This window comes from Homo sapiens, chromosome 14, assembly GCF_000001405.40.
Source record: "Homo sapiens chromosome 14, GRCh38.p14 Primary Assembly".
Taxonomy (NCBI): Eukaryota; Metazoa; Chordata; class Mammalia; order Primates; family Hominidae; genus Homo; species Homo sapiens.
This window is the reverse complement of record NC_000014.9, coordinates 22,590,618-22,615,189: the sequence shown is the minus strand read 5'-3', so window position 1 is coordinate 22,615,189 and position 24,572 is coordinate 22,590,618. Positions and strand designations below refer to the sequence as shown.

At 46.5% G+C, this 24,572-nt stretch overlaps 1 protein-coding gene across 5 annotated transcripts, besides 2 other annotated features; it reads right to left on the bottom strand.

The window, feature by feature from the left end:
• Positions 1-2,226: 2,226 nt before the first annotated feature.
• On the bottom strand, positions 2,227-16,890 carry ABHD4 (abhydrolase domain containing 4, N-acyl phospholipase B). Of its 5 annotated transcripts, none has more exons than NR_171624.1 (8): positions 16,861-16,890; positions 13,435-13,523; positions 11,428-11,800; positions 11,111-11,265; positions 9,324-9,403; positions 8,657-8,768; positions 5,280-5,466; positions 2,227-4,331 (listed from the first exon to the last, which is right to left on the bottom strand). NR_171624.1 is itself a non-coding variant. In NM_001392009.1 (7 exons), exons 2-7 carry the CDS (start codon positions 13,472-13,474, stop codon positions 4,242-4,244), a joined length of 957 nt encoding a protein of 318 aa, NP_001378938.1. In that variant the 5' UTR covers positions 13,475-13,523; positions 16,748-16,890; the 3' UTR covers positions 2,227-4,241. The 5 variants fall into 5 exon arrangements, 2 of the variants coding, with proteins under 2 accessions (NP_001378938.1, NP_071343.2); NR_171626.1 differs by lacking the exon at positions 9,324-9,403 and having other exon boundaries at positions 11,428-11,578; positions 11,694-11,800; NM_001392009.1 differs by lacking the exon at positions 9,324-9,403 and having other exon boundaries at positions 16,748-16,890.
• Positions 16,656-16,895: an enhancer, noted in NCBI's record as "active region_8136". NCBI's record gives its function as "activates an Ori minimal core promoter by ATAC-STARR-seq in GM12878 lymphoblastoid cells {active_cell/tissue: GM12878}" and the evidence as "EXISTENCE:reporter gene assay evidence [ECO:0000049][PMID:35858748]".
• Positions 17,006-17,205: a silencer, noted in NCBI's record as "silent region_5587". NCBI's record gives its function as "represses an Ori minimal core promoter by ATAC-STARR-seq in GM12878 lymphoblastoid cells {active_cell/tissue: GM12878}" and the evidence as "EXISTENCE:reporter gene assay evidence [ECO:0000049][PMID:35858748]".

Below are 24,572 nucleotides of genomic sequence, written 5' to 3'. Positions count from 1 at the left end.
AAGGGAGACTGAGAGAAAGGACCCTCCAGACCTCATCCGAGGACTCTGTATGAATTGAAAAGTCACAAAATGAGAAAAAATCTTGTGCACCATTCATTGGACATTGTGTTTGTTATCAGTTAAGAGTAGGAGTCTTAGGCTGGGCGCGGTGGCTCACATCTGTAATCCTAGCACTTTGGGAGGCCAAGGTGGGTGGACCACCTGAGGTCAGGAGTTCGAGACCAGCCTGACCAATATGGTGAAACCCCATCTCTACTAAAAATACAAAAATTAGCTGGGCATGGTGGCGGGTGCCTGTGGTCCCAGTTACTCAGGAGGCTGAGGCAGGAGAATTGCTTGAACCTGGGAGGCAGAGGTTGCAGCGAGCCGAGACTGCACCATTGCATTCCAGCCTGGGCAACAGAGTGAAAAAAAAAAAAAAAAAAAAAAGAGTAGGAGTCTTTTCTATCTGGCCATGAACTGTACCTGCAGGGTCATGGATCAGAATGGAAAGAGGTACTCATCAAGATTTCACCACCGTTTTGGCAATGAAACCAGACTACATTTTTAGCACACATACTTTGGTGTCTATACCGAGGAGGAAGTTAAATTTAGCACATTTTCTGCTAGTCGCTGAATACTGCAGTACCACCTGGGTCTTAAGTTGAGTCACAGTCCTTTTAATGTCTGTCTGTGGAATCTCTCCTTTTAAACTGCTAGGCATTTGAGGAGCCTGGATTTATGGTTCAAACTGTCACCATAAATCCTTAGTGCCCACCCAGAAACTGTGCTGATTGGGTAGAATGTTCATAGTAATTTCTTAGTCCCACCTAGTGGAATGTTAGGAATGTTCCTGTCAGATGGGGTGTGTGTCTGCGTGCTGGCTTGTGCCCATGCGTGCAGACCATGTAGTATAAACAGGGGACTCTGGGTGACCTTTCTCAGACTCTTCTTGCGTCTGCTCCTGAAGAATGTGTTTGCCTCGTGTTGAGTTGGAAAAAGCAGATCAGCATGTTGTGCTACCTCCAAAAAAAAAAAGTGATTCTGGAGCAAGCAGAATGAACTCTCAGGGGCACAGGCCCTACTCTACCCAGCCTTCTGGGTCAAATGTCAGAGACAGAGTCCCTTAGACCAGTTCCTGCAGACACAGGGCACCAGAATCTCCTAGGAATGTGTTTAAATGTAGATTTCACGGTCAGACTCCATTCAGGTTAACCAGATCAAACTCTAGGGAATACAGCTCAGGAATCTATATTTAAAAAAAAATACCCCCAGGTTGTTTTGTTATGTGACTGGGTTTGGTAACCACTGCCTCACTTGGCCCGTTCTTCAAGAGGGTGGTAGGGTCATGCAGTGTTGATATTAAGTCTTTTAGATTTTACCATCTAAGCATCTTTTGCATTTTTCCCCTCTCTGTGTCCATTAGCCCCTAGCCAAGTCCAAACTACCATCAGCTCTGGCCTGGACCACTGCAGCAGCCTCAAAGTTCTCATCCCCCTCTCATCTGAACTCCACAGAGCAGCCAGAATGGCTCTTTCAATCTCAGGCTGATTTTGTCACACTCCCTACCCCACCCTGACCCCCATTCATTTCCTTCCATTGCTTTTTAGAATGAACACAACATTCTTCATGTGGCCAGAGGATCTGCTGAGCTGGTCCCTACTGATCTCACCAGACTTCTCTCCCAGCCACCTGCCTTTGCAGTCGCCCCTCTCTCCAGACAGTCCTTCCCCTTTCCCTGGTCCTGCCTTCAGGCACAGCTGCCATCACTTCTGCAGGAGGTTTTCTCAATTCTCACGGGTAGCACTTTAGCAATTTTACATTGATTTACATAATATTTTGACTAGGTGCATCTCTTTGAGTGAACTGGAATTTCTCACAAAGGCAGACACTCTCTGTTTCTTCACTATTGCAGCCCTAGTGGTTGGCATGTAGTAAGCTCTATATACCTGCCTTCTCCTCCCTATAAAAATCCTCAGAGAAGACACAGGGTCCTGAGATGGATCAGAACTTTGTAATTATATTCAGGAGGAGTTCTGTCTATTCATTCATCATGACATGTGTAGTATCATGTGCTTTTTTTTTAAAATTTAGGTTTAATACATTTTCAATCAGCCTATGCACATGGAATATGCGCCATTTAGAACCGTGGAATTCTGGGCCCAGCTGGACTCAGCCAGCACAGAGCAAGCACTGTTAGTAATGATTTGAACACTTTTTTGAATACTTGGTATATCTCACTTCCCGTGGCATGATGAAAACAAACATTTATTGAACACGAACTATGTGCTAGATGTACCCTTTGTCTTTATGTTGCTTATGGTCTGGGGAGGAAAGAGACGCTAAACAAGTAACCACAAGTTTATAAGTTTTACAAAAGGGGCAGATGATATGCCACAGAGATGCAGAACAGAGGGGTCCGAGTCTAGTTTAGGGAATCAGGGGAAGGCATCTCTGCATAAGGAATATTTGAGCTGAGATCCAGAGGATGAGAGGAAGTTAGAGCAGGATGCAGGGAGCAGTACATGTGTGGGCTTCCCTTGAACTTAGGAAGAAAGGGTGTCTAATGGGCAGCAGGAAGTACTAAGTTCCACCTCTCTACTGTGAACTGGGGCTTGCCCCATCCACACTGTGGATCTCGACTCCTCATTTGTCATGAGTGGTTGGCTGAGAGGGCCTGTGCTGACCTGGACTCTGGGCTGGGTCTAGCGGGCAAACGCCACACTAAAAGGAGAAGGAGTCGTGGGTAGGCAGGCAACCCTCAGGACTCCCTTCTCTCAGGCATCACACAGGCTGTTGCGAATTCAGCACCACCAGTGATCAGAGCAATTTTAAACATCATCCCCACCGGTAATTTTTACTCGTTTCTTTATTAATATAGAAAAGGAGCCCAGGGCAGCTGGACCAGTAGTACAAAGCACCAGGAGTTAATACCATTCTGGTGAAGGGGATGGTTTTACAAAAGTGAAGGAGCAGGCAGGAGCCACCAGGTTCTGAGGCCAGGCCCAGCCTACTGCCCAGAACCCCTGAAACGGCTCCCTGGGAAAAAGCTGACAGATGGGTCAGGGGTGGATTGAGCTGGAAACCATGGGGACAGATGGCAGGGATAGAGGGTCATGCAGTGGGAACCACCCAGTGGCTGATAAGGACAGGGAACTTGTGGCTGGAGGCTCCCCATTGGGCCATGGGCAGGGGCTTGCAGATGGCCTCAGCTCTGGGGGCAGGTAGAGAAACTGCAGAGACTGATGGGCATGGAGAACCCAGACATGGCCCTGGGGCTGAAGGGCCTTTCCACCCTCTCTTCACCAGGAGCCACCTTTGCTCTATACTACATATGGGGCTTCAGGGCCCAAGGCACAGGGGAGGCTCAGAGGCCTCCAGTTGGGAGGAAGATGGGGCAAGGAAGGAAGCACTTGAGTGTCCCTAGCTTAGGCAGCCGGGGATGAGACACAGGCAGGACAACAGCACCCCCGCATAGTGGGGCTAGAATGTGGGACAGGGACGGGCTTATCCTCGGCCAGTGACTAGGACCAGCCCCATGGCAATGGTGCCTGTCTCCAGCCTTAGCAAATCAAGTGTGCAACAAGCACAGGGTGTCGGCAGACCTGGGCTCTAGCCTTACAAGCTCTGCCAGAACTTGAATCACACAGAGCTGTATCACCATGGTCCAGCCATGTCCTGCCTTGGCCTGTTTCCTCCTCTGTCAATGAGGGCTTTGAATAAGACCTCCTAGGTCATGAAAAGGACTCTGCAGGTGAAGGGAACTCCAGGACCTGCTCTTGGCAGTTAAGCAGACCCTGGATGGAACTGGTATGGGATGGGGTGAAGTGGGGGATGGAGGAGGAAGGTGTTCTTGCATGGAACCTATCCCCACAAACACTACAGAGTGAGGAAAGGCCACTGGAAGCCCTTCTTTGCCCAGAGGAAGAAAGGCCACAGAGAGAGTGAATGTGGCTTGGTGCAATCCCTTCACATCCTCCACCATCTGGGTAACACTTGGCAAGGAGTGGATGGGTGGCATTGTGCAACCCTTTATGTTCTTCCCTGGGGGTGGCACTCAAGGCCTCTTGTGGCTTCTGCCTTCAGCCTTCAGTGTAGGGTCAAGAGTGTTCTTTTCACTGTCGTCCTGTTCTGGGAACAGCACAAGACTCTGCCTGGCTGGCACATGTTAGTTGGTGAGGAAAGGACAGAGTGGGTGAGTAAGCAGACAGGGAGGTAAGAGTGACTCTCTGGCTTTCTCCTCTTCCTCTTCAGAGAGCAGCTCAATCAACTGAGTCGCAGATCTCCTCCACCACAGCATTGAAGATGTGTGGCTGGTCAGCATAGACATGGTGGGAGGCACCCTTAATCTCCTGTGGAGAGAGAACCCGCAGGGGTGGGATGGCCTTTTATTCCTGGTGCTGGGAAGCCTTCACGCTATTTCTTTTCCCCTTAGACTTGCTTGCCTGCCACCCACGAGCTCTTATCAGAGATAATGCTCCACCTTTCTCGCTTGGATCTTGGTATTTTCCTTTGACAGCCAATGCTTTCCCATTCTACTTACTTGATAAACATTCACTGTGTCTTTCCTTCTGTGTTAGCCCCACCACTGATCTGCTCATTTAATCCAAAGGTCCAGTAAACCTGGGCCCATGGTTGGCACCCAGCCTCATTAAGCACACTCATTGGCACATGGCGGAGAGGGGTAAGAAAAAAGGGGAGGAGGTGTGGTGGGGAAGCTTCATGGCAGCCTCTACTATTCACTCTACTGCCCATGGCTCTGGTTTTGGGGTAGAAACTACATGGGGGCTGGAGTAGCAGCAGGTGCCTGGCTGCTAGACAAGAACCAGCCTTTTAGCTGAACTGGGCTAAAAGCAGGAAGCCCCTAATGAAGGTAGTACAATACGAGCACTTTGGGAGGCCAAGGTGGGCGGATCACGTGAGGTCAGGAGTTCGAGACCAGCCTGACCAACATGGAGAAACCTCGTCTCTACTAAAAATACAAAATTAGCTGGGCGTGGTGGCGCATGCTAATAATCCCAGCTACTCGGGAGGCTGAGGCAGAAGAATCGCTTGAACCCGGGAGGCGGAGGTTGCAGTGAGCCGAGATTGTACCATTGCCCTCCAGCCTGGGCAACAATAGCGAGACTCCATCACGAAAAAAAAAAGATATTCCAAAGAGAGTTTCCAAACTTCTCAAATCTACTGCTCTATCTCAGTCTGTCCATTCCTCTTTCTCCTTGATCACCCTTCTCTACCCCAAGGCTGAGAGGTGATTGACTCTCAGTCATCATTTCCACTCCTTGGGTGGTGCAACATACCATGTCTCGGACATAGGAATCCGGCCGCTGCATCTTCACCTTTTTTCCCGTACTGGTATCTATCCAGGTGTCGGACCCGTAGATCATAGTGATAGGCACATCTTTTCGAATCAAGTGAATTCGCTCCAGCATAGGGCGCCGGGCCCAGCCAAAGGACTCCATCATGGCTTTGAATGCTGTCTCACCACTGTCAAAAGCAAAACAGCAATAAACTTCACAGCAGAATATGTCAACTTGTTGGTCTCTTCAGAGACTGAGGCAGAATCTTAGTCACCTTTGTATTCCTGTCAAAGCCCCACACTGGGCTCATTAAATATTGGTAAGATTAGGGGAAGACCAAAATTCCAGAGGCCTCCCATCACAGAAGAGTTCGGAGGAACACTTGTGAAAAACCCCATGGCAGTACGAACTGTCCAAGAATCTGAGAATGAAATGGGTTATTATTGACTCAACAAATATTCTGTCATGCCCTGGACTGGGAAAGGGGACATATGAACAAGAAAGGCAGGATGCTGTCCCTCCTGGAGCTCACACACTTTAGCTCATGTGTTAGGGAGGTAGGCATTAAGTAACTAATCATATGATTAATTGTTATTTAATTTAAAATTTCTTGGGCTGGGCACGGTGGCTCACACCTGTAATCCCAGCACTTTGGGAGGCCGAGGCGGGCGGATCATTTGAGGTCAGGGGTTTAAGACCAGCCTGGCCAACATGGTGAGACCCTGTCTCTACTAAAAATACAAAAATTAGCGGGGCGTGGTGGTGCGCTTCTGTAATCCCAGCTACTCAGGAGGCTGAGGTAGGAGAATTGCTTGAGCCTGGGAGACAGAGGTTGCAGTGAGCCAAGATCACGCCACTGCACTCTAGCCTGGGTGACAGAGCGAGACTCTGTCTCAAAAAAACAAACGAACAGCCAGGCATGGAGGCTCATGCCTATAATCCCAGCACTTTGGGAGGCTGATGCGGGCAGATCACCTGAGGTCGGGAGTTCGAGACCAGCCTGGCCAACATGGTGAAACCCATCTCTACTAAAAATACAAAATTAGCCAGGCATGGTGGTGCATGCCAGCAATCCCAGCTACTTGGGAGGCTGAGGCAGGAGAATCGCTTGAACCTGGGAGGCAGAGGTTGCAGTGAGCCGAGATCGTGCCATTGCACTCCAGCCTGGGCAATGAGCAAACCTCCATCTCAAAAACAAACAAACAAACAAACAAAAAACAACTTAAAATTTCCCAAGAAGGATGAAAAGGTGGTCGAGTGCTATGAAAACACAGACTGGGGATTTAGCCTGTTGGGGGTCTAGAGACATGGTCAGAAGTTCATCTGAGGTGAACGCTTAAAAGTGAGTACTATAGTAGTAAAAAGGGCTTCCTGAGAAGACTCTGGAATTAAAAATCAGTCTTCCAAGGGCTGGGGGAGCAGCAGTTTCTGTTAAGCAAGAAACAACAAATGCCAATGTAATCTATTTCACTCCCCGGTCATTTGCTCAGGTAGAATGAATTGAGGCCGTATCATGAGGTGTCCACAAGGCTGGGGCAGAGCCAGCTTTCTGGGGCTGGTCTGCAGCTTCTGCTAGAGATAGGGCAGGTTGGGGACACTGCTGCCTCCTAGGCTTGGCCTGTTTAGTACCATCAGATCTCCATTCTCTTTTACATGTACAGATGAAAGGGAACCTGAGTTCTGCCCAGGCCATCAGAAATAAATTTTTCCTTAAGATACTGCAGCACGGCAGAAAAAGCATGGAATTTGGAGTCAAATGAATTCAAATCCTCAGCTGTGTTTTCTTAGCAAGTCATGTAACCAGAATATACTTTAGTTTCCTCATCTATAAATGTAGAGTATTATACCTACTTCACTAGGACATCATTAGGAAAATAAAAATATATACAAAGCCCCTAAGTTTAGGTGAGATGAAGTAGATACCCTCAAACATGTTGGTCAAATTTCATGTTTTCCAAGGAAATGATAAGAGTTACCATGAGCTTGTCAGGGTTACAAAGTCAAAAAACTCAGGGAGTTACAAAATTGAGTGACGGTGTTTGGGGGTGAGGGAGCTGGTTGTCACTGATGTCACCTTTGCTTCCTCTGGGATGTGAATGAATTATAAACTTATATACTCTGTGGCTTAGGTTGGGAGGACATTGTACAGAACTAGGTCTGGGATGGGGAAAGTTCTGGGGAAAGGGCTAGGGCTGGGCCTGTGGGGCCTCAGGTGGGTATGAGACAGGCACTGAGCCCATGGGGGCTGAGAGAAGGGCCAACGGCAGGAAGACAGGGGAACCTGATTTGACTGCTGAGCTGGGAGTTTCTATACTACTGTTTGATCAGGGTTCTTCAATTAGCTGAGCTCATGTGGAATGCTGGACAGACAGCTCACACACTGCCCAACAGCTGTTGGGGTTTGAGGTTAATGTTCAGACAGTATTGCTGGAATGCAAATCTCTGCCTTTCTCATGGCTTTGGGCTCCCAACAAGTGACTTGGACAGCCCTAGAAAGGAGTAGGGCAGTAAGCTTGCCTTTGCTGAGATACCTCCCAGCAGCTCGGGGTGTCACCAACATGGCCTCGTGGTATCAGCCAGTCACAGGGCACTTCCACATAAGAGGATTACCTCCCTGACTGCCCTGCCATCCACGGTGCCCAAACTGCAGGTAGGTAGGCTTGTGGGGCCTGCTGTGTAAATAAGCAGCCCCAGATAGGAACTTTTCAAAGTTCTCGAGACACCCCCAAATCTCCCAAAGATGCAAAAAAATTTCTGTCTCAATGATAAGGCATTTCAAATGCACATAATTAAATTTTAAAATGCATGCTCTTTCATTGAGAAATTCTATTGGTAGTAATGTGTTCAACAGATACAGTCACATGTGTGTACAAAGGAATATGTACATGGAGGCCCTCTGAAGAAATGGTACATGTGCTATGTTAGACTGGAAATAATAAGGAAATGTAGGGACTACAGGCCCGGGACAGGAGAAGACTTCCTTTCCTTTTGAAAAATATCATGTTTTTGCTAATTATTTTTGACCTAAAAAAAGAAAAAAAATACCATGTTTGTATCAATTTTTCAGTTAAAAAAATCTTTTAAAATATTAATATTTTCCAGACTCTTGTTCATCAGGCCAATTGCATACCTGTAGGGAACAGGGAGGGCCTTCCTCTAGAGATGGGCAGCATGTTTAATTAATCTATTATCTTCTGTATTCCTTTGTGTCTGTCCCTGGGGAACTCTCTGGAAATGATCAGGCTTGCTAGTGCCTGTGTTTACCTAACTGAGTCAGAGCTTTGTTGAAGAAGAAATAAAGCCCAGAACTCCAGCAGCTAAGAGTTTTATCTCCTAACAACTGTCTGCCCCAAGCTGGCCTGGGGAGCGGCCCTCACCTGGGATTCTGTGCGTTGCAGTGGTAAATATACTCTGATATGGTATCATCTTCAAAGAAGTCTGCAAACTTGCGTTTGAAGTCCGGCCGGAATCGCTGCACCAGACCAGGCCCTGGGAGGGGATAGAAAAACACAGACAGGCCAATTTGGGAGGTGGGGCAGGGAAGACTCCTGCCTGTGTATGTTTTGAGAACTTTAACTAAACCTTATTTCTCCTAAGGGTTTGTTTGCTTTATTCATTTAACACTACAGCGGCAGAAAGAGTGCAGGAATCTACTGGGAAGGTCCAGGTGACTTCAAATCACAAAGTCAGCTCATTACCAGAGAATTTAGAGACAATCTAACAACACTGAGGAGCCAGGTTGTTTTCAGCTCAATGAAGCCCCGAGATCTTTCCCTGCAAGAATCACAAGCCCTCCCCATCAGAATCCATGGCTGAGATGCTCTTCTCTTATAGCCTGAGCTATGTTCTCCTTCTCCCAGACACCCTTATGGCCTTTTAATCTTCTGATGGTAGCGGATGGAACTAGACCACCTCCCGACAGCGCTCTCATTTTCAGGCCTGTATTAGAATATGTGGAGAGGTGAACTAAACACAATCGTGTCTCAGACTCAGGGCACTGTTTTACAACAATCTGTTCGTTTCACCTCATTATGGTATACATACATGCAACAACAGACTGTAAAAATGAGGTCTACTGGTCAACTTCTGATCCCTGATCTCTCTCTTTCTCTCTGGTCTTCTCTCTGTTTATGAGAAGCAAGAGGGAGGTAAGAAGGGGCTGGGTTGGGGGTGCCATGAGGATCTGCATGGGCCTGGCCCTCCCTCCTGCATAGTCCCTCATGGCTGCTGGCCAACTTCCCCAACTATGATAGCTCTGATGCTCCTGCATGAGCCTGGCCAGAGGTGAGAATAGGGGAGAGTAGCTCGAGCAGACCTTCTTTTTGGCAAAGGACTATAGACTCTGTTGGAGACCACGGTGCTGGGAGCCTCTGCCCACTTACTGTCCTTTGGCACCCGTGTCTTGGTATCCTTCCTCTCTCTCAGAACTCCTAAACTCCTATCTTCTAATCAAATGCTTTTTTTCTTTATCTGGAATCATTCTGTTTTTCTTGAAGGACCTAGAGAGATAACTCTTACTTAGCCATCAGCAATTAACTCATAATAATTGGCTATTGAATATTACTCTGTAAGCACAATCATCAGTACAAGACAGGCATCACCAATCTTTTCCATTGGAAAAGATTGCACTTTTCTGCTTTGCACTTCATCAGAGTAAAAAGCTCCCCAGCGGAGAAGGGTGCTGGCAGTGTGAGGTCAGAAGGCTGGAGATATTGATACTATTCATTATGGCTAGCTCCCCATGGTCCTCCACCTCCTTTTCTCCCTTTTACCCACAGAATTTGCTGACAGCTACCAAGTGCTAGGTGACACAGAGCAGGTGAAGATGTGGTGCTTGCCTGGACAAGTGCATGGTTCAGAGGGGCTTGCCTGCCACTGTGGGTTATGTTGGAGGCTTTGGTTCTGACCTCTCCCTGCTGCAGGTGTTGGGTGAACCACAGGGATGGGATCCAGTGGTTACTGGGCATGAATCACCAGCAGGTTTTCATAAAATTTCACACAGATTGGGTGTGGTGGCTCATGCCTGTAATCCCAGCACTTTGGGAGGCTGATGCGGATGGATCACTAGAGGCTAGGAGTTCAAGACCAGCCTAGCCAACATGGTGAAACCCCGTCTCTACTGAAAACACAAAAATTAGCCAGGTGTGGTGGGGTACACCTGCAGTCCCAGCTACTCAGGAGGCTCAGGCAGGGGAATGGCTTGAACCCAGGAGGCGGAGGTTGCAGTGAGCTGAGATCACACCACTGCACATCAGCCTGGGAGATAGAGTGAGACTCTGGTAGCTATTCTGCTCCACCTGTTCCTGGCATAGGAAAAGCTTTTCCCATGCCGATGAAGAGAAAAAATACAAAAAACAAAAAACAGGCCAGGCGCGGTGGCTCACGCCTGTAATCCCAGCACTTCGGGAGGCCGAGGCAGGCGGATCACGAGGTCAGATCGAGACCAGCCTGGTTAACACGATGAAACCCCGTCTCTACTAAAAACACAAAAAATTAGCCGGGCATGGTGGCAGGTGCCTGTAGTCCCAGTTACTTGGGAGGCTGAGGCAGGAGAATGGCATGAACCTGGGAGGCGGAGCTTGCAGTGAGCCGAGATCGCACCACTGCACTCCAGCCTGGGTGACAGAGCGAGACTTTGTCTCAAAAAAACAAAACAAAACAAAAAAACAAAAAACCTTCTCAAACCTTGAACAAAGTGATCTGGTTCAGATTAACAGCTTTAAATAACAAGGCTAGGCCAATTTCCACTTTTTAGGAATAAGTGGGAAAGACACTGTGGGCCTTCTAGAACGTTATAGCCTTCCTTTAAGGAGATACTACAGGCTACTCACCCCAGGGCCCAGCTACTCGAAGAACAGCCAATGGATTGGAACGTCCTAGGACAGATGCCACGGCTTTGACCCAGGCTGGGGGTGCACGGATCTCACTGGGGTTAGTTGGTCGGAGGGGAAAGCCCCATGGGTCCACCAGGATGAGGTGTTTAACTCTATGTTAAAGGCGGAAAGAGGAGAAGACACATTATATTCTCTGGTAGTTGCCATAGCCCCTTAAATCGCCTGGGAATGAGAGAAGTTTGGAAATGAATACTGGAAAGTTCCCAGTAAGGCCAGGAATTAGGTCACGAGGGATGGAGCCATCTCCTTATTACCTATCAGGGTACTTGATTGAGTAAGAAGTGGCCAGGAATCCTCCCAAACTGTGCCCCAGGAGGATCATGCTGGGGATCCCCATGGTCTCCCGCCATGTCTCTATCGATGTCACAAACTCATCCTCAGCCCCCTCCGGGTCCCTTGGGAATGCTGGCCTTGAGCTTCGCCCGAAGCCAAGCAGATCGAAGGTGTGCAGTGTGCGGCGGGCACTCAGTGAGTCCATGTTGAGGATCCAGAGACCCACGCCGCCCCCAAAACCATGCACCATCACCAAGGGGGTGCGGTCGTTTTGCTCGGGGCTCACAGTCACCGTCCAGATCTTATTCTGGTTTGGGAGGGATACATATCTGGCCAGGAACTTATTCTGGAGACCTGGGGAGGAAAGAATCCCATGGTAAGTCAATAAGTGTTTCCTGACGGCATCATCATTTTGCCTGGACTACCACTCTTCACATTCTCTCCATTCCCGAACCCTCCCCAACTTCCCTCAGCTCCTTCCTCTCACAACCCTCTGACCACTGAAAACAACTCTCTCCTTAACCAAACTTTAGGCAAGCCCTTCTGAGCCCTCTTCTTGACTAGGCTTTGACCTTGGCCCCTGGCCTGTCTTCCAAATGTCTAGCTCAGTCTTAGCAAGAATCCTGCAAAGTCAGGATGAGTAAGTCATACATCAGTTAGTAAGAATTCCTTCATATTTGATCAAGTTCCTCATCCCTCACCTTTGACCTTCCTTCAGCAATGATCCTGTTAAACTGGTTTGAAAAGAACTCCCTTTATCTTTGATATCTCCCTTTATCTTTGATATCTCCTCAGCAATTTTCTATCCACTGACCCCCCTCACCATGCTGCTTGGTTATAAATCCCCACTAGTCCTTAATGTATTCAAGAGTTGAGCCTGATCTCTCTCCCCTATTGCAGTAGTTTTGAATGATCTTTACCGATTTAATCTGTCAGAATCACTTTTTCTTTAACACTACACACTCTAAAGAATTCAACTCCAATCACATTTACAGACCATGTAGTCTGTACATAATAAGCGGGACCGTCTTATCCCTTGAAACAGCGTGCCCAGCTCCCTTTAGCCCCAGGTGGTAGTGACACCACCAACCCCACAGAGCTCTTGCATCTATTGCTCTTGAACCTGTGTGTGCTTGGGGCTTGATGGATGGACAGAACTGTGGTCCAGCCAGTTGGAGGGAGTGATGGGTGTGGACTGAGCCTCGGGTGAGAGACTGAGGTGGGGCAGTGCTTGTTCTGCTGGTGTGACAGCAGTCTCCCGGGAAGAGCTGCCTGGGTGAAGCAGCCTGGATCCTGGACAGAGGCCTGAGAGCTCTGGCTGCTGTTTGTCTGCACTTACTCGGGCCCAGAAGAGAAAGGGTAGCTATGGCTGGGGCAGTAGGGGTGTGGTGAAGATCATAAGGGAAATATGGGAAGAAGTGGCTTAAGGGGCTTGTTTGAGCGAGTGGCTGCTGCCGCTAGTGGGATGCCCTGCTGCAATGTAACAGTGCCGATGACAGCTGGTCTGCAAACCACAAACTACTGTGGTAACCAGATAGGTGGGGGGCCAAAACCAGGTAGAACACAGGAATAGTAACATCAGAGAATGCAAGATTGCTGGCCAAGGATCTGCAGGTGGTAAATCTAAGAAGTACTTGTGTGGTGAGAAGAGAGGAGGGGAGGAAGAGAGAAATGGGGGAGAAGGAAGGAGGAAGGGGAGAATGTACGTGTTTGTGTGTGTTAGCCGGCACTGGCATAGGGTTTGAGGTGAAGTTGCAGGAAGTGGCAGGAACTATCCACATGGCTAGGGAGATGGTGAGGAAGCACTATTATCAGATATGGTGCCGTCTGTATGCACCTCTTCCCTCACACAACTGACATCCTTTCCTCCCACCCCATACACACTGTTAATTAGGAATCAGTGGGCTCAATGTAGCAGGCTCTGGGAAGATCCTGAATCCTTCTTGGGCTCCATGAGGGAGGTGGGACAAGCTGTCCATTCTACTTACACTGGAGGATCCTGGCTTCCACATTCTTCAGCTGAGACATGGAAGTGGGGCGCCACGTGGGCAGCCAGCTACTCAGCCAGCCTTGAGACCTGGGAGGAGGAGACAGAGACACTCATTGGCAACATTGGAAAGAAACATTGATGCTCTTAGCCTTGCTGAGAGTTACAAAAGAGTTCTCAGGAAGCAGGGTGTTTCCTAGCCTTGAGAGACCTGCCCCCCATGGCAGGCAGCAGTTCCCTAGCTACCTGATAGATTGTTTCTTTTTGGTAAATGGGTATTAACAACATGCCCCTTGTTTCAATAGATATTCAGAACATCCTGTATATAATACTTTAGAGTTTACAAAGCTCTGTCACATTTATTATCTCAGCTTTCTAATTTCTCCTTGTTACTGATTATCATAATTTATGTTCAAGGAGATTAAAGGGAGAGGCATCTTTTAACTAATGTTTCAGTTATCCTTTGCTGTCCCCAGTACTAGCTGTTCCTTAACAGTAGGACAAATTCCCATGCCATCTGCCCTACTGGCAGGGCACTGGTTGGTGTTTATGTATGCCCTCTTCCAAGCCCCTAGAAGTGTGGAATACTGTGTTGTGCCCAACTGATCTCTCAGGTAATCAATCAGTCCAACCCATGGAGATGGGGTAGGCAGGGAGGAGGAGGTGAGAGACCTGGATTCAAGTTCTGTTATGGTTCACTGACAGGACACAGGTTCCCTCTGGTCTTGTTTTCTAGATTGTAAAATGAGTAGAAAGCTCACCTATGTCCTCACCTCTAATGACATGCGGTAACACAGATAACTCATCCCGTTTTCTCCTTCATACCCAGGGACCTTAAGTCATTGCAAGGTAGAGGTTAAAAGCACCAGCTTTGGAATTACACACACACACACACACACACACACACACACACACACACACACACCCCCCTGCTGGACGTGAATCATAGTGTTATCATTGATGAGCAGAATGGTTTTGGCCCATTAAATAACCTGTCTTTGAGCATCTGTATATGTAAGGACACTTGTAAGATGCCCAGTACAAATGAGATGCTCAATGAATGACAGTTTGTATTATTCCTTGTTAACCCCATATGATATTTCTCTTTTCTTGAACTCTGCCTGAGTTACAGGACAGATATCTACAGCTATAGGAAGGGCCTGTGAACACTGGCATATTCAAGGTAGGGCACTCTAAGGGGGAGTGAGGGGAACCATGACCAAATCCCCTTGGCCCACACTGGGCATCCTGATACATCATTTGAAGCACAGAATTTTAAATTAGGATGTTTCCTTAGGAATCAACTAGTCTAGCCTCTGTATTTTACAGATGAGCAAACTGATGCCCAAAGAGGTCATACAAGTTAGAAAAAAAGAACCAGAACTAGAGCCCCTTATCTCAAATCCAGGTTTCTCTCCCTGAACCTTCCAGCCTCAGCTTTTCAAGGTCATGTACAAATATTCACAGAACATAACCACATTTTTACATTTATGTCTGTTTTCTCAAGGGAGGTGTGATCTAAACTCTGAAGGCCAGAGTTCCAATTTTAGCACTGTCACTTACCAGCAATGTGACTGTGGGCACATTATTTAGCTTTTCTGTGTCAGAGCTTCCTCATCTTTAAAAGGGAGGTAATAATATCTACCTCATAGGGTTGCTATAAAGATTAAAAGTGTTAATGCATCTAAAGCACATAGAATATTGCCTAGCACAAACTCCCAATCAACTTTCTTTCCCCCCAGCTAAATCATAAGTTGTCTACATTCCCAGTGTTTTGCAAGTAGCAACTCTCAGTGGATGTTTGAAGTTTGAAAGAAAAACTGGGGTTGCAGCTGGGAGTGATACATCAATGGTTTTAGCCAGATGAGAGTTGTCAATATCAATCGATCTAATCCTAGGGAGACTCAGAATCCTTTTAATATTCTACTGGAATTCCTTGTAGGCTTGAAGCACGGGGACCAAGACCACAGGATTTTGTCAGCCTTAAGAGACAAATTTTCTCTCTAAATCACAGACTGTGACAAGTCAGATCATAACACCTGGATCCCACATTGTCCTGTTACTGTACAAAGCAGAGTTCAGGAGAAACGCTACCCAAGGAACAGCATCATAGACTGCTCAGCAGAGAGTCCTTGGTGGGAGAATTACTTTGCTTTCCTTCTTCACCAAAAATGTTACAAGTAAACACTGGAAATGGTGCCTGGCACACTGTATGTGCTCAAAACTATGCGGGAGGTAAGGGCTGGAGTGGGAAATTGAGGCAAGGAGCAGAAAAGACATTCAGCCATGAACTTAACCTGGCTAGGACGGTCTCTGTCAACTTGATGGGGGTGAAGCACAAGGGGTTCTGTGCTGGGAGAGAATCCTGTTCTAGACCTCTGTGATCTTGGGCAAGTCTCCTAATTTCTATGGACACCAGCTTCTTCATTTTTAAAAAGGAGCTGAACTACCTGCATGTCCTCCAGCTCTAATATTCTGCCTCCCTAAGTCCTTTAAAGCATTGCAAATTTCCTCTTGGAAAAGTCATCTTAGAAAGTAAAACATTCCCCTGGACATTTCTTTCAAGCCCAGCAAGCTATTAATTATGGTCATAAAGTTAATTAGTTCCCCGGACTTCCAGTTCTACAGGTCTGAAAAACAGGATTACTGGGTCCAGGAAAGGCCCAGTTCTGGTGAAACCAAGGCTCGGCTGGGAGCTGAGTCATTCTTCTCGTAGCAACTTTTTCTTACTCCTATCAGATTGCGAACTGCTAGTCACACCACCTACAGGTGGTATCCCAAACCTGATGCCCTTGAAAGAGTGGTAGCAAATCCCAATAGCTCTAAATCTGAAACCATTGCATTAAAGATGTTGTTACGATTATTAAAAGCATTATCAACTAGGATCACATGCGGCTACGTGTCTCGGTGGGCGACAGCTAAAGAAACTTGCAAGCCCGTTGTTCCACACCAATTTCAGCGCGATGGAGACCTCTCCAGTCTCTCCACATCTTCTCTTTGCCGGGCGGAGGGAGGAGGCTCTCTCCATCCCCACGACTGCCGTTCTGGGGGGCAAGTCGAGACGAGCACGCCTGGCTGCTACCTCCGCACCCGCGTCCCACAAGCTTGCTTTCGGGGATCTCACACATCAACATGGAATCTCTCCAGAGGCCAGAGGAGAATGAGGGGCACTCGCGAGGACTAAGGTAGAAAGCCAGGATCCCCGGGCTGCGGGCGAGCGCGTCTCCCATGGCTCCCCAGGCTCAGCCGCTGCCTCTTCTGGGCAAATGCAAAGCAAGCAACGCACCCACCCCCCGCCCTCCCCGGAGGCCGACCTGGAAAAGGAAGAGCGGGAAGGTGTCTACAACTGTTCCTCAGCCACAGACAGTCCCAGGATCATGGCCCAGAGAGAGAGAGAGAAAGAGAGAAAGGGACAGGATTAACTCACTGCTGCTCCAGATCATCGGCCATAGTAAACAAGCCTTGCCAGGTCCTGGCGAGCCCGCCCAGCGCCTGACGCCAGCACCAGCTGACCCGGGAGGCCGCGGGGAGCAAGGGGGCGTGGCCGCGCAGGGGGCAGGGCTCGCGGCGGGCCGGCGGTCGGCGGTGGGACCCTCAAAACTCTGCAACTTGGTTTCAGCTAGTGGGGCCCTTGCTGTGTTTTCAATCACTGGCATGTGTCCCGGCAGAGATGTCTCTGACGGTCTCAGAATGGGACAGTAATCCTGGTCACACATTTGGGGGAGTCCTTGCAGGAGCTCCGACAGCCCTCCCTTCTCTCATAACTAAAAAGTGGTAGAACTACGCCTGCACGCTCGCACCCACTCTTTGGGCTTCCCATTGTAACTGTGTCCTCCTGAAATCGACCCTTGTTAATGTTCCTTCTAGTAAGAGGCTTAAATGTTTGTGGAGACAACGCCATTGGTTGAATGCTCCTACAAAGGGCCTGGATGCCAGATTTCGAAACTAAAATACAGGACACCTAGTTAAATGTAAATTCCAGATTTAAATAAAGCAAATACTTTTTTAGAATAAGTATGGGCCATGCAGTATTTGGGACATAAGTAGGCATCCTGTATTTTCTCTGGCAAACCTAAACCTATATGACATCTGCCAAAATGGGCATATCTCTGCTCTGATGTTGACTCTGACCCCAACCTATTTTCCAGGGAAAATATAGCTCAACTCCAGGTCACCCTCAGTTTGGAGGATAACAGTTGAAGGACTCACCAATAAGGCTAGGTCTCCTTTCGGTATGTAAATGCGGGGACAGGGAGATAAGGCTGGCTTGGCCCAGAGGTCCTGAGTGCACTTCAGTTTGCTCAGCAGAGGAGCTAAATCTTGAGGCTGGCTGCTGAATTTGCTTGTACCGGTAAACAGGGCCTGACCTCCCTGGAACTGTCAGATTTCAGATCATCCCCTTAGTTAAAACCAGACTAGGGGTGGGGCGCGGTGGCTCACGCCTGTAATCCCTGCACCTTGGGAGGCCAAAGTGGGTGGATCACTTGCAGTCAGTAGTTCGAGACCAGTCTGGCCAACATGGTGAAACCCCATCTCTTACTAAAAATACAAAAAATTAGCCAGGTGTGGTAGCAGGCACCTGTAATCCTAGCTACTGGGGAGGCTGCGGCAGGGAGAATTGCTTGAACCCAGGAGGCGGAGGTTGCAGTGAGCCAAAATTGTGACACTGCACTCCAGCCTGAGAGACAGAGTGAGACTCCATCTCAAAAACCAAAAACAAACAAGCAAACAAACAAAAAAAACCAGACTGGGGAGTGGTGGAGGATGGGTGAGAGAATGCTGGTGCACAGGGGTTTATCAAAGCATTTTTCTTTAGCCTTCCTGCAGGACCCAGATGATTCTGAGATTTCTTCTTTGTAGCAACACAGTGTTAAGCTGATCATTATAAAGACTTAACGTTTAGGAGAACCAGCATTTATAGAGTTTAGGGGCTTAGGAATTTGCCAGATGTGGTACAAAGTAGTTCAACTAGCAGAGGACTTGTCTCTTTCATGCAACCTTTTTTTTTTTGAGACTGATTCTCACTGTCACCTAAGCTGGAATGCAGTGTCATGATCATGGCTCACTGCAGCCTTGAACTCCTGGGCTCAAGGGGTCCTCTTGCCTCAGTCTTCTAAGTAGCTAGGACTACATGTGCCCAGCTAATTTTTTTTTTAGTTTTTGTAAAGATGGGGTCTTGTTATTTTGCCCAGGCTGGTCTCAAACTCCTTGGCTCAAGCTATCTTTCTGCCTTGGGGTCTCAAAGTGCTGGGATTACAGGGGTGAGCCAACAAACTTGGCTTCGTTCAATCTTTCAACAAAGCACAGTGGTTCTAAACTTCAGTATGCATAGAATCATCTGGTGGATTTATTAGAAATTCAGATTTCTGGGCTGGGCATGGTGGCTCACGCCTGTAATCCCATCACTTTGGGAGGCCGAGGCAGATGGATCACGAGGTCAAGAGTTTGAGACCAGCCTGGCCAACATGGTGAAACCCCATCTCTACTAAGAATACAAAAATTAGCCAGGTGTGGTGGCGCGTGCCTGTAATCCCAGCTACTCAGGAGGCTGAGGCAGGAGAATTGCTTGAACACGGGAGGAGGAGGTTGCAGTGAGTTGAGATCGTGCCATTGCACTCCAGCCTGGGGGACAAAGCAAGACTCCATCTTGGAAAAAAAAATTCAGATTTCTAGCACCTACCCTCTGAGATTCAGATTCAGCTGGTTTGGCTTGATGCTAGAAAGCCGCATTTTTAGGAAGCACCGCAGATACTGGTGCTCCACGAGACTCACTGGTTGGTTAGAAGTATAGATTCTGGAGTCATGAAGCCTGGTTAAGTTCAGTATTTGCTTTGCCACTTATCCACTGTAAATCCTTGGCCAAGTTATTTAGCATCTCTTAATTTCTTCCTCTGGCTTGTATCTTGTGAGAACTAACCAAGATAATTCAAATAAACATGTGGTACACTTATTTGTGATACGAATATTACTTATTTTTGTTGTTGCTGTTATTCAATGCCAAGAATTATGTTGAGCACTAAAAATACAATTATCCAGCCTGGGCATCATAGCAAGACTCTATCTCTACAAAAATGAAAAAAATTAGCTGGGCATGGCAATGCACACCAAAAGTAACAGCTACTCCGAAGGGTGAGGCAGGAGGATCACTTGAGTCTAGGAGTCAGAGGTTAGAGTGAGCTATAATCCCACCACTGCACTCCAGCCTAGGTGAGAGTCAGACTCTGTCTCTAAAAAAAGAAAAAATAAATAAAAGCAATTATCAAAAGGAAATAAACAACCTGCTCTAGTGGTAAACACAGACTTTCTATCTGTTGCTACCCTAGGCTGTTCTTGGCTTTGCAGAGCTGATAACTTTGTATTCAGAGCTCAGCTCAAACTTCCCCTCATCTGAGGCATTTCTTGACCACAGGATCTAAAGAGAGCCCCCCATCACTCTGTCACATTACCCTATTTTTATTTTCTTCATAACACATAACATTATCTGAAATTATCTTGCATTGTTTTTACTCATTTATTATCAGTTTCCTTCCACTAGAGAATAAATTTCCTGGGGGACCCTCTCTGTCTTGTTATCTGCTGTGCTCCCAACACCTAGAACAAAGTGTGGCAGAGTAGGCACTCAATATTTGTTGGGTAAATGAAGAAAAGTCTAGTGAAGAGGCAGAAGCATAAACAATTACCTATGAAACAATATACTAAGTGTCAAAGGCTTTGGGAGCTACATTCTAAATTGTACCAAATAGAAAATTCCATACTGTATCACTCCCAGACAGGACAATAAAATCTCCCACTTTTCTGAAAACCTGTAAGTTGTGAGATTTTTTTAGGCAAGGACGACTACACATGAACTGGTATTAGATCTCTCTAGACCATTTCTCAGGAGTGCAGAGAAGTGTTTGTATTTTGTTTTCATGTGCGAAATCAGCTTTAAAGTAGAGGTTTCTTGGAAGTAGGAAACTTGAATGGATGGAAAATGCCTTTAATAACCAAAGTTACCACAGTTTTTAAGGTATCCCCAGTGCTGATGTATCTCAGGATCAGGACGGATCTGCTAGAATTACACAGAGTAAAGAGGACTCTCGGAGCCTACTCTAAGGCAGGCCTCTGGGGAGAAAATGTAAGTTATTTTTTTTCTCCTTATCATCAGGACAAAGCACACCATGAGCAAGTATGAGACTCCAACAAGTGTGGATGGAAATTAATTTGACAAATCTGAAACCATCTTTGCAAAATTATGACTGAGACAGTGAAAGAGATCTAACTTAACTGACTCCATCTCGCTTCTAACCAGGTTGTCCTTGTTCATTCCTGGGCATAGGCTGAACTAACTTTGGGAGAAACTTAGTTTATAGTTTGTGGTTTGTGACAGATAACAGCCCTTTCCCGGGGCTGACTTCCTTGTTGCCTGGAGACTAGATTGCCTTTGTAACACTAACATTAGCCATAAGATTGGAAATTATGGTTTGGGAGTCATGCAGCTGGAGGCTACAAGATTCTGACCCTCCCTAGACTGCTCCTAAGATCAGTGCTTGAGATATTTGGTGACCCCTGCACTTGATGGATCAGCTGGTACCACTCAGATTGATGAACTGGCTCATCTGATCTTGCAGCGCCCCCCACCCAGGAACTCAGGGCAAGAAGACAGCTTGGACTCCTTATTATTTCTTCCCCGACCATCAGGACTCGTGGCTCACTGGCTTCCCCAACCAAGTTGTCCTTAAAAACTCTGATCCCCGAATGCTTGGGGAGACTGATTTGAGTAATAATAAAATTCCGTTCTCCTGCACAGCTGGCTGTGTATGAATTACTCTTTCTCCATTCTAATTGCCCAGTCTTGATGAACCAGCTCTGTCTAGGCAGCGGGCAAGGTGAACTCCTTGGGAGGTTACAAACCCTCTTTCTATGACTGTAAGTCATCACTGAGTATTCCAAAAGTAGGTGGAGCTGATAAACTGATAGCTCAGGCCTGGCAGCTATAGATTATTCTTGTTTCAAATGGGTATCACTGCCATTTGAATAAACTGTGAACAAGGTATATCTCTTTGACTGAACATAGAAATGAGTGGAATAGCTCATAAGTTGTTCTGTCCAATGACAGCCACTAGCCACAAGTGGCTACTTAGATTTAAATAAAAGCCAAATAAAATTTCCTTAGTCACACTGTAACCAAGTATCCCCATTTTTCTAAGAGATAGTTTAATGATTTTTAAAAAATCTCTCTTCTTTTCCCCCTTCTCCTCACTTCCTCCTTAGCTCTTTAGAAATGCAATTGTAGCCTTTTACCTCCTCTTTATCAGACACTCCCTATGGGGCAGGTTCATCTAACTATGTGCTTAGAAGCTCCAGAGAGGAACTCTCACCCACCGGGAGGTTGCCTTGAGAGACAACAGCCTATCTACAACCCAAAGTATGCCTGCTACAAAGCTTTCTCTTACCTGGAGAGTTTTGGCCACTTTTACAACCCAGTCCTGCCCACAAAAGGCACCAGCAGTCACTGTCCAGTAGATAAGGCACTGAAGGTAGTATGCAGACCCCCCAACCACTCGCTTCCTCCCCTCGTGCCATTCATGCCAGCATTCCATGCCCCATTTCAAAAGCACCCTCTTTCTGCTCCAAAAGTGAAATGGTACCCTTAAGGCAGAAAACCTGTACTTCCTCCCCTAAGGTAGCTTTGGAATAAAATATCATTTTCTTTATACCAGATCTCACTCTTGTTAAGTGGACTCTGCAAGCAGCGAGAGAGTGAACCTGCATTTGGGTTACAACACTAACTAGTTTAAGTGCTCAATAGCCACATATGTCTAGCAGTTACTATACTGGGCAGTGCAGAGACATTATCACAGAAAATTCTATTGCACACTGTTGCTCAGGCACTGATGATTTCAGCCCCATGTTGTGGTGAGTGATCTGCTCTTGGAAAGGACAATATAGTGGACTCACTTTCGGGTGCCAGCAAGGGGGCAAAACTGAGGCTTTTTTGAGACTCCCAAACAGCTAGGAGGGAGGGAAACCAGACAAAGGAGCTGAAAAGTTGTTCCACTTCATCAGAAACTGAAAGGATGAAGGGATATGGGTTCACTGAAGATATTTACTGCTTTACTAGGACTTGATCAGAAACTTGATACTTTAAAAATTTGACTTTGTGCTGTTTGCAACTTGATTCTCCTTAAATTTTTATTTCTGAAAATAATAACCTATTTTATCTGTTCTATTAGGAAACAAGGAGAGGGGGTTTTGGTCACACTGGGGCCAAAGTTTAGAAGGTAGAGATTATATATGCAATAGCAGTTAACAGAAGCAAAGAGGGGAATCTTAAGGCAAACGTGACAATGCAAGGGAAAGGAAATGGAAAAGACATTCTTTTCCATGCGGAGATTTCCTTTAGAAGAGTTATTGTCTACTCAAACTTTGGAGGATTTGTGTTTCTTTTGGTAAATAATGTGATTTCTTTTTGTAGAGGATGTATGATGTAAAATCATGGACTTTGCCCTTAAGGGAACCCTCTTGCTCCTCCACTCTTCCATTGTTTTATGTAATGAAACCCCTAAAGTATACTCTGACTTCAGTTTCAGCTTATAAATTAGATCTGCCCTTTAAGAGCCATTTGAGTTGCAGTCCCTCCAGTGCTATCTTTTGCATACCCAAATTATTGGGGGCGCTGTAGTTTGGCTAACTTTTAATCATTCAGAGAACTAGGAGAAGCAGACATGGTTAATTACTAGGATTAATGATAGTTAATAAGAGCAAACATTTACTGAACATTTACTGTCTGCCAAACACTATGCTAACAGCTTAATGCTTAACATTATCTCATTTAATCCTCACATAATTTCAATGAGCCAGGTATTGTTATTTCTGTTTTATAGAAAAGGAAAATGAGACTGTCAGACTGAGTAACTTGTTCCAGATTAGACAACTAGTAAACAGCAGAATCAAGGTTCAAACCTAGGACTGTCTGATTCTAGAGCTTGCACTCTTATCCACTACTCTGGACAAGAATTTTAAACTATATTAATATTCTGATTTAAACTAATTGAAATCAACACTAGTGTTAGCAATTTCCTATTGACAGATCAGTTAAAAATGTTTCAATGATTATAGAATCATAAACCGAATAGAGAAGTAGGCCTTTTCTTGCTGTTTTAAGTAGTTCAGAAAAGCCCTAGTGTAGTATATTGGTGTGACTAGCAGGTCTCAGAAACAAATGCATTCAATAAGTCCATTTGGTGTTTTTCATCTCTTCTTCTCTCCTGTGAGAGTTCCTGGGGAGATCTTAATGATGATAGTTGACATGGATCAAAGGCAGACAAAACATAAGGGAGAAAACACTGGAAGGAGCCTGGCTGATGGAACAGAAACTCCCTGAAGAATCCACACCTGAATGATTAAAAAGCATCAGCCTAGCCTGTAAAGTTTGAAGTTGAATATTCGTGAGGAAGCTACCCTCCTACTTGTTGATGAGGCAGAGAGAAAGGTTCAACTTGTCAGAGAAATTGATGCTTCCTGCCATATTATATTGAAATAAGAACCAGCTTGTTATCCACTCTTTTTTTTTCTTTCTCAGCAACATAGGTTTAGGCTGAACTTATGTTCATATAGCTGCACAAATCTCCACGGGTATGAATATAAATCTATCTATTCAAATAGACTCTAAAGGTTTCTTAGGTTATTTCTCTTCTTTCTAGAACTTAAGTAAGGCTTTGATCACCACTGATAATACATCCGTTAGTTAATGCGTGTAGAGTTTCCAGTCTAAAGGCAAATAAAAAGTGAAAAGGGGCCGGCGCAGTGGCTCACTCCTATAATCCCAGCACTTTGGGAGGCTGAAGCAGGCAGATCACCTGAGGTCAGGAGTTCAAGATCAGCTTGGCCAACATGGCGAAACCCCGTTTCTACTAAAAATACAAAAATTAGCCGGGCGTGGTGGCAGGTGCCTCTAATCCCAGCTACTCGGGAGGCTGAGGCAGGAGAATGGCTTGAACCCAGGAGGTGGAGGTTGCAGTGAGCCGAGATCGCACCATTCACTGCACTCCAGCCTGGGTGACAAGAGCAAAACTTCATCTCAAAAAAAAAAAAAAAAAAAAGTGAAAAGGCAGGAACGCTGTTGTTCACCTGCTGTTTTAGGAATTTTGCTCACGT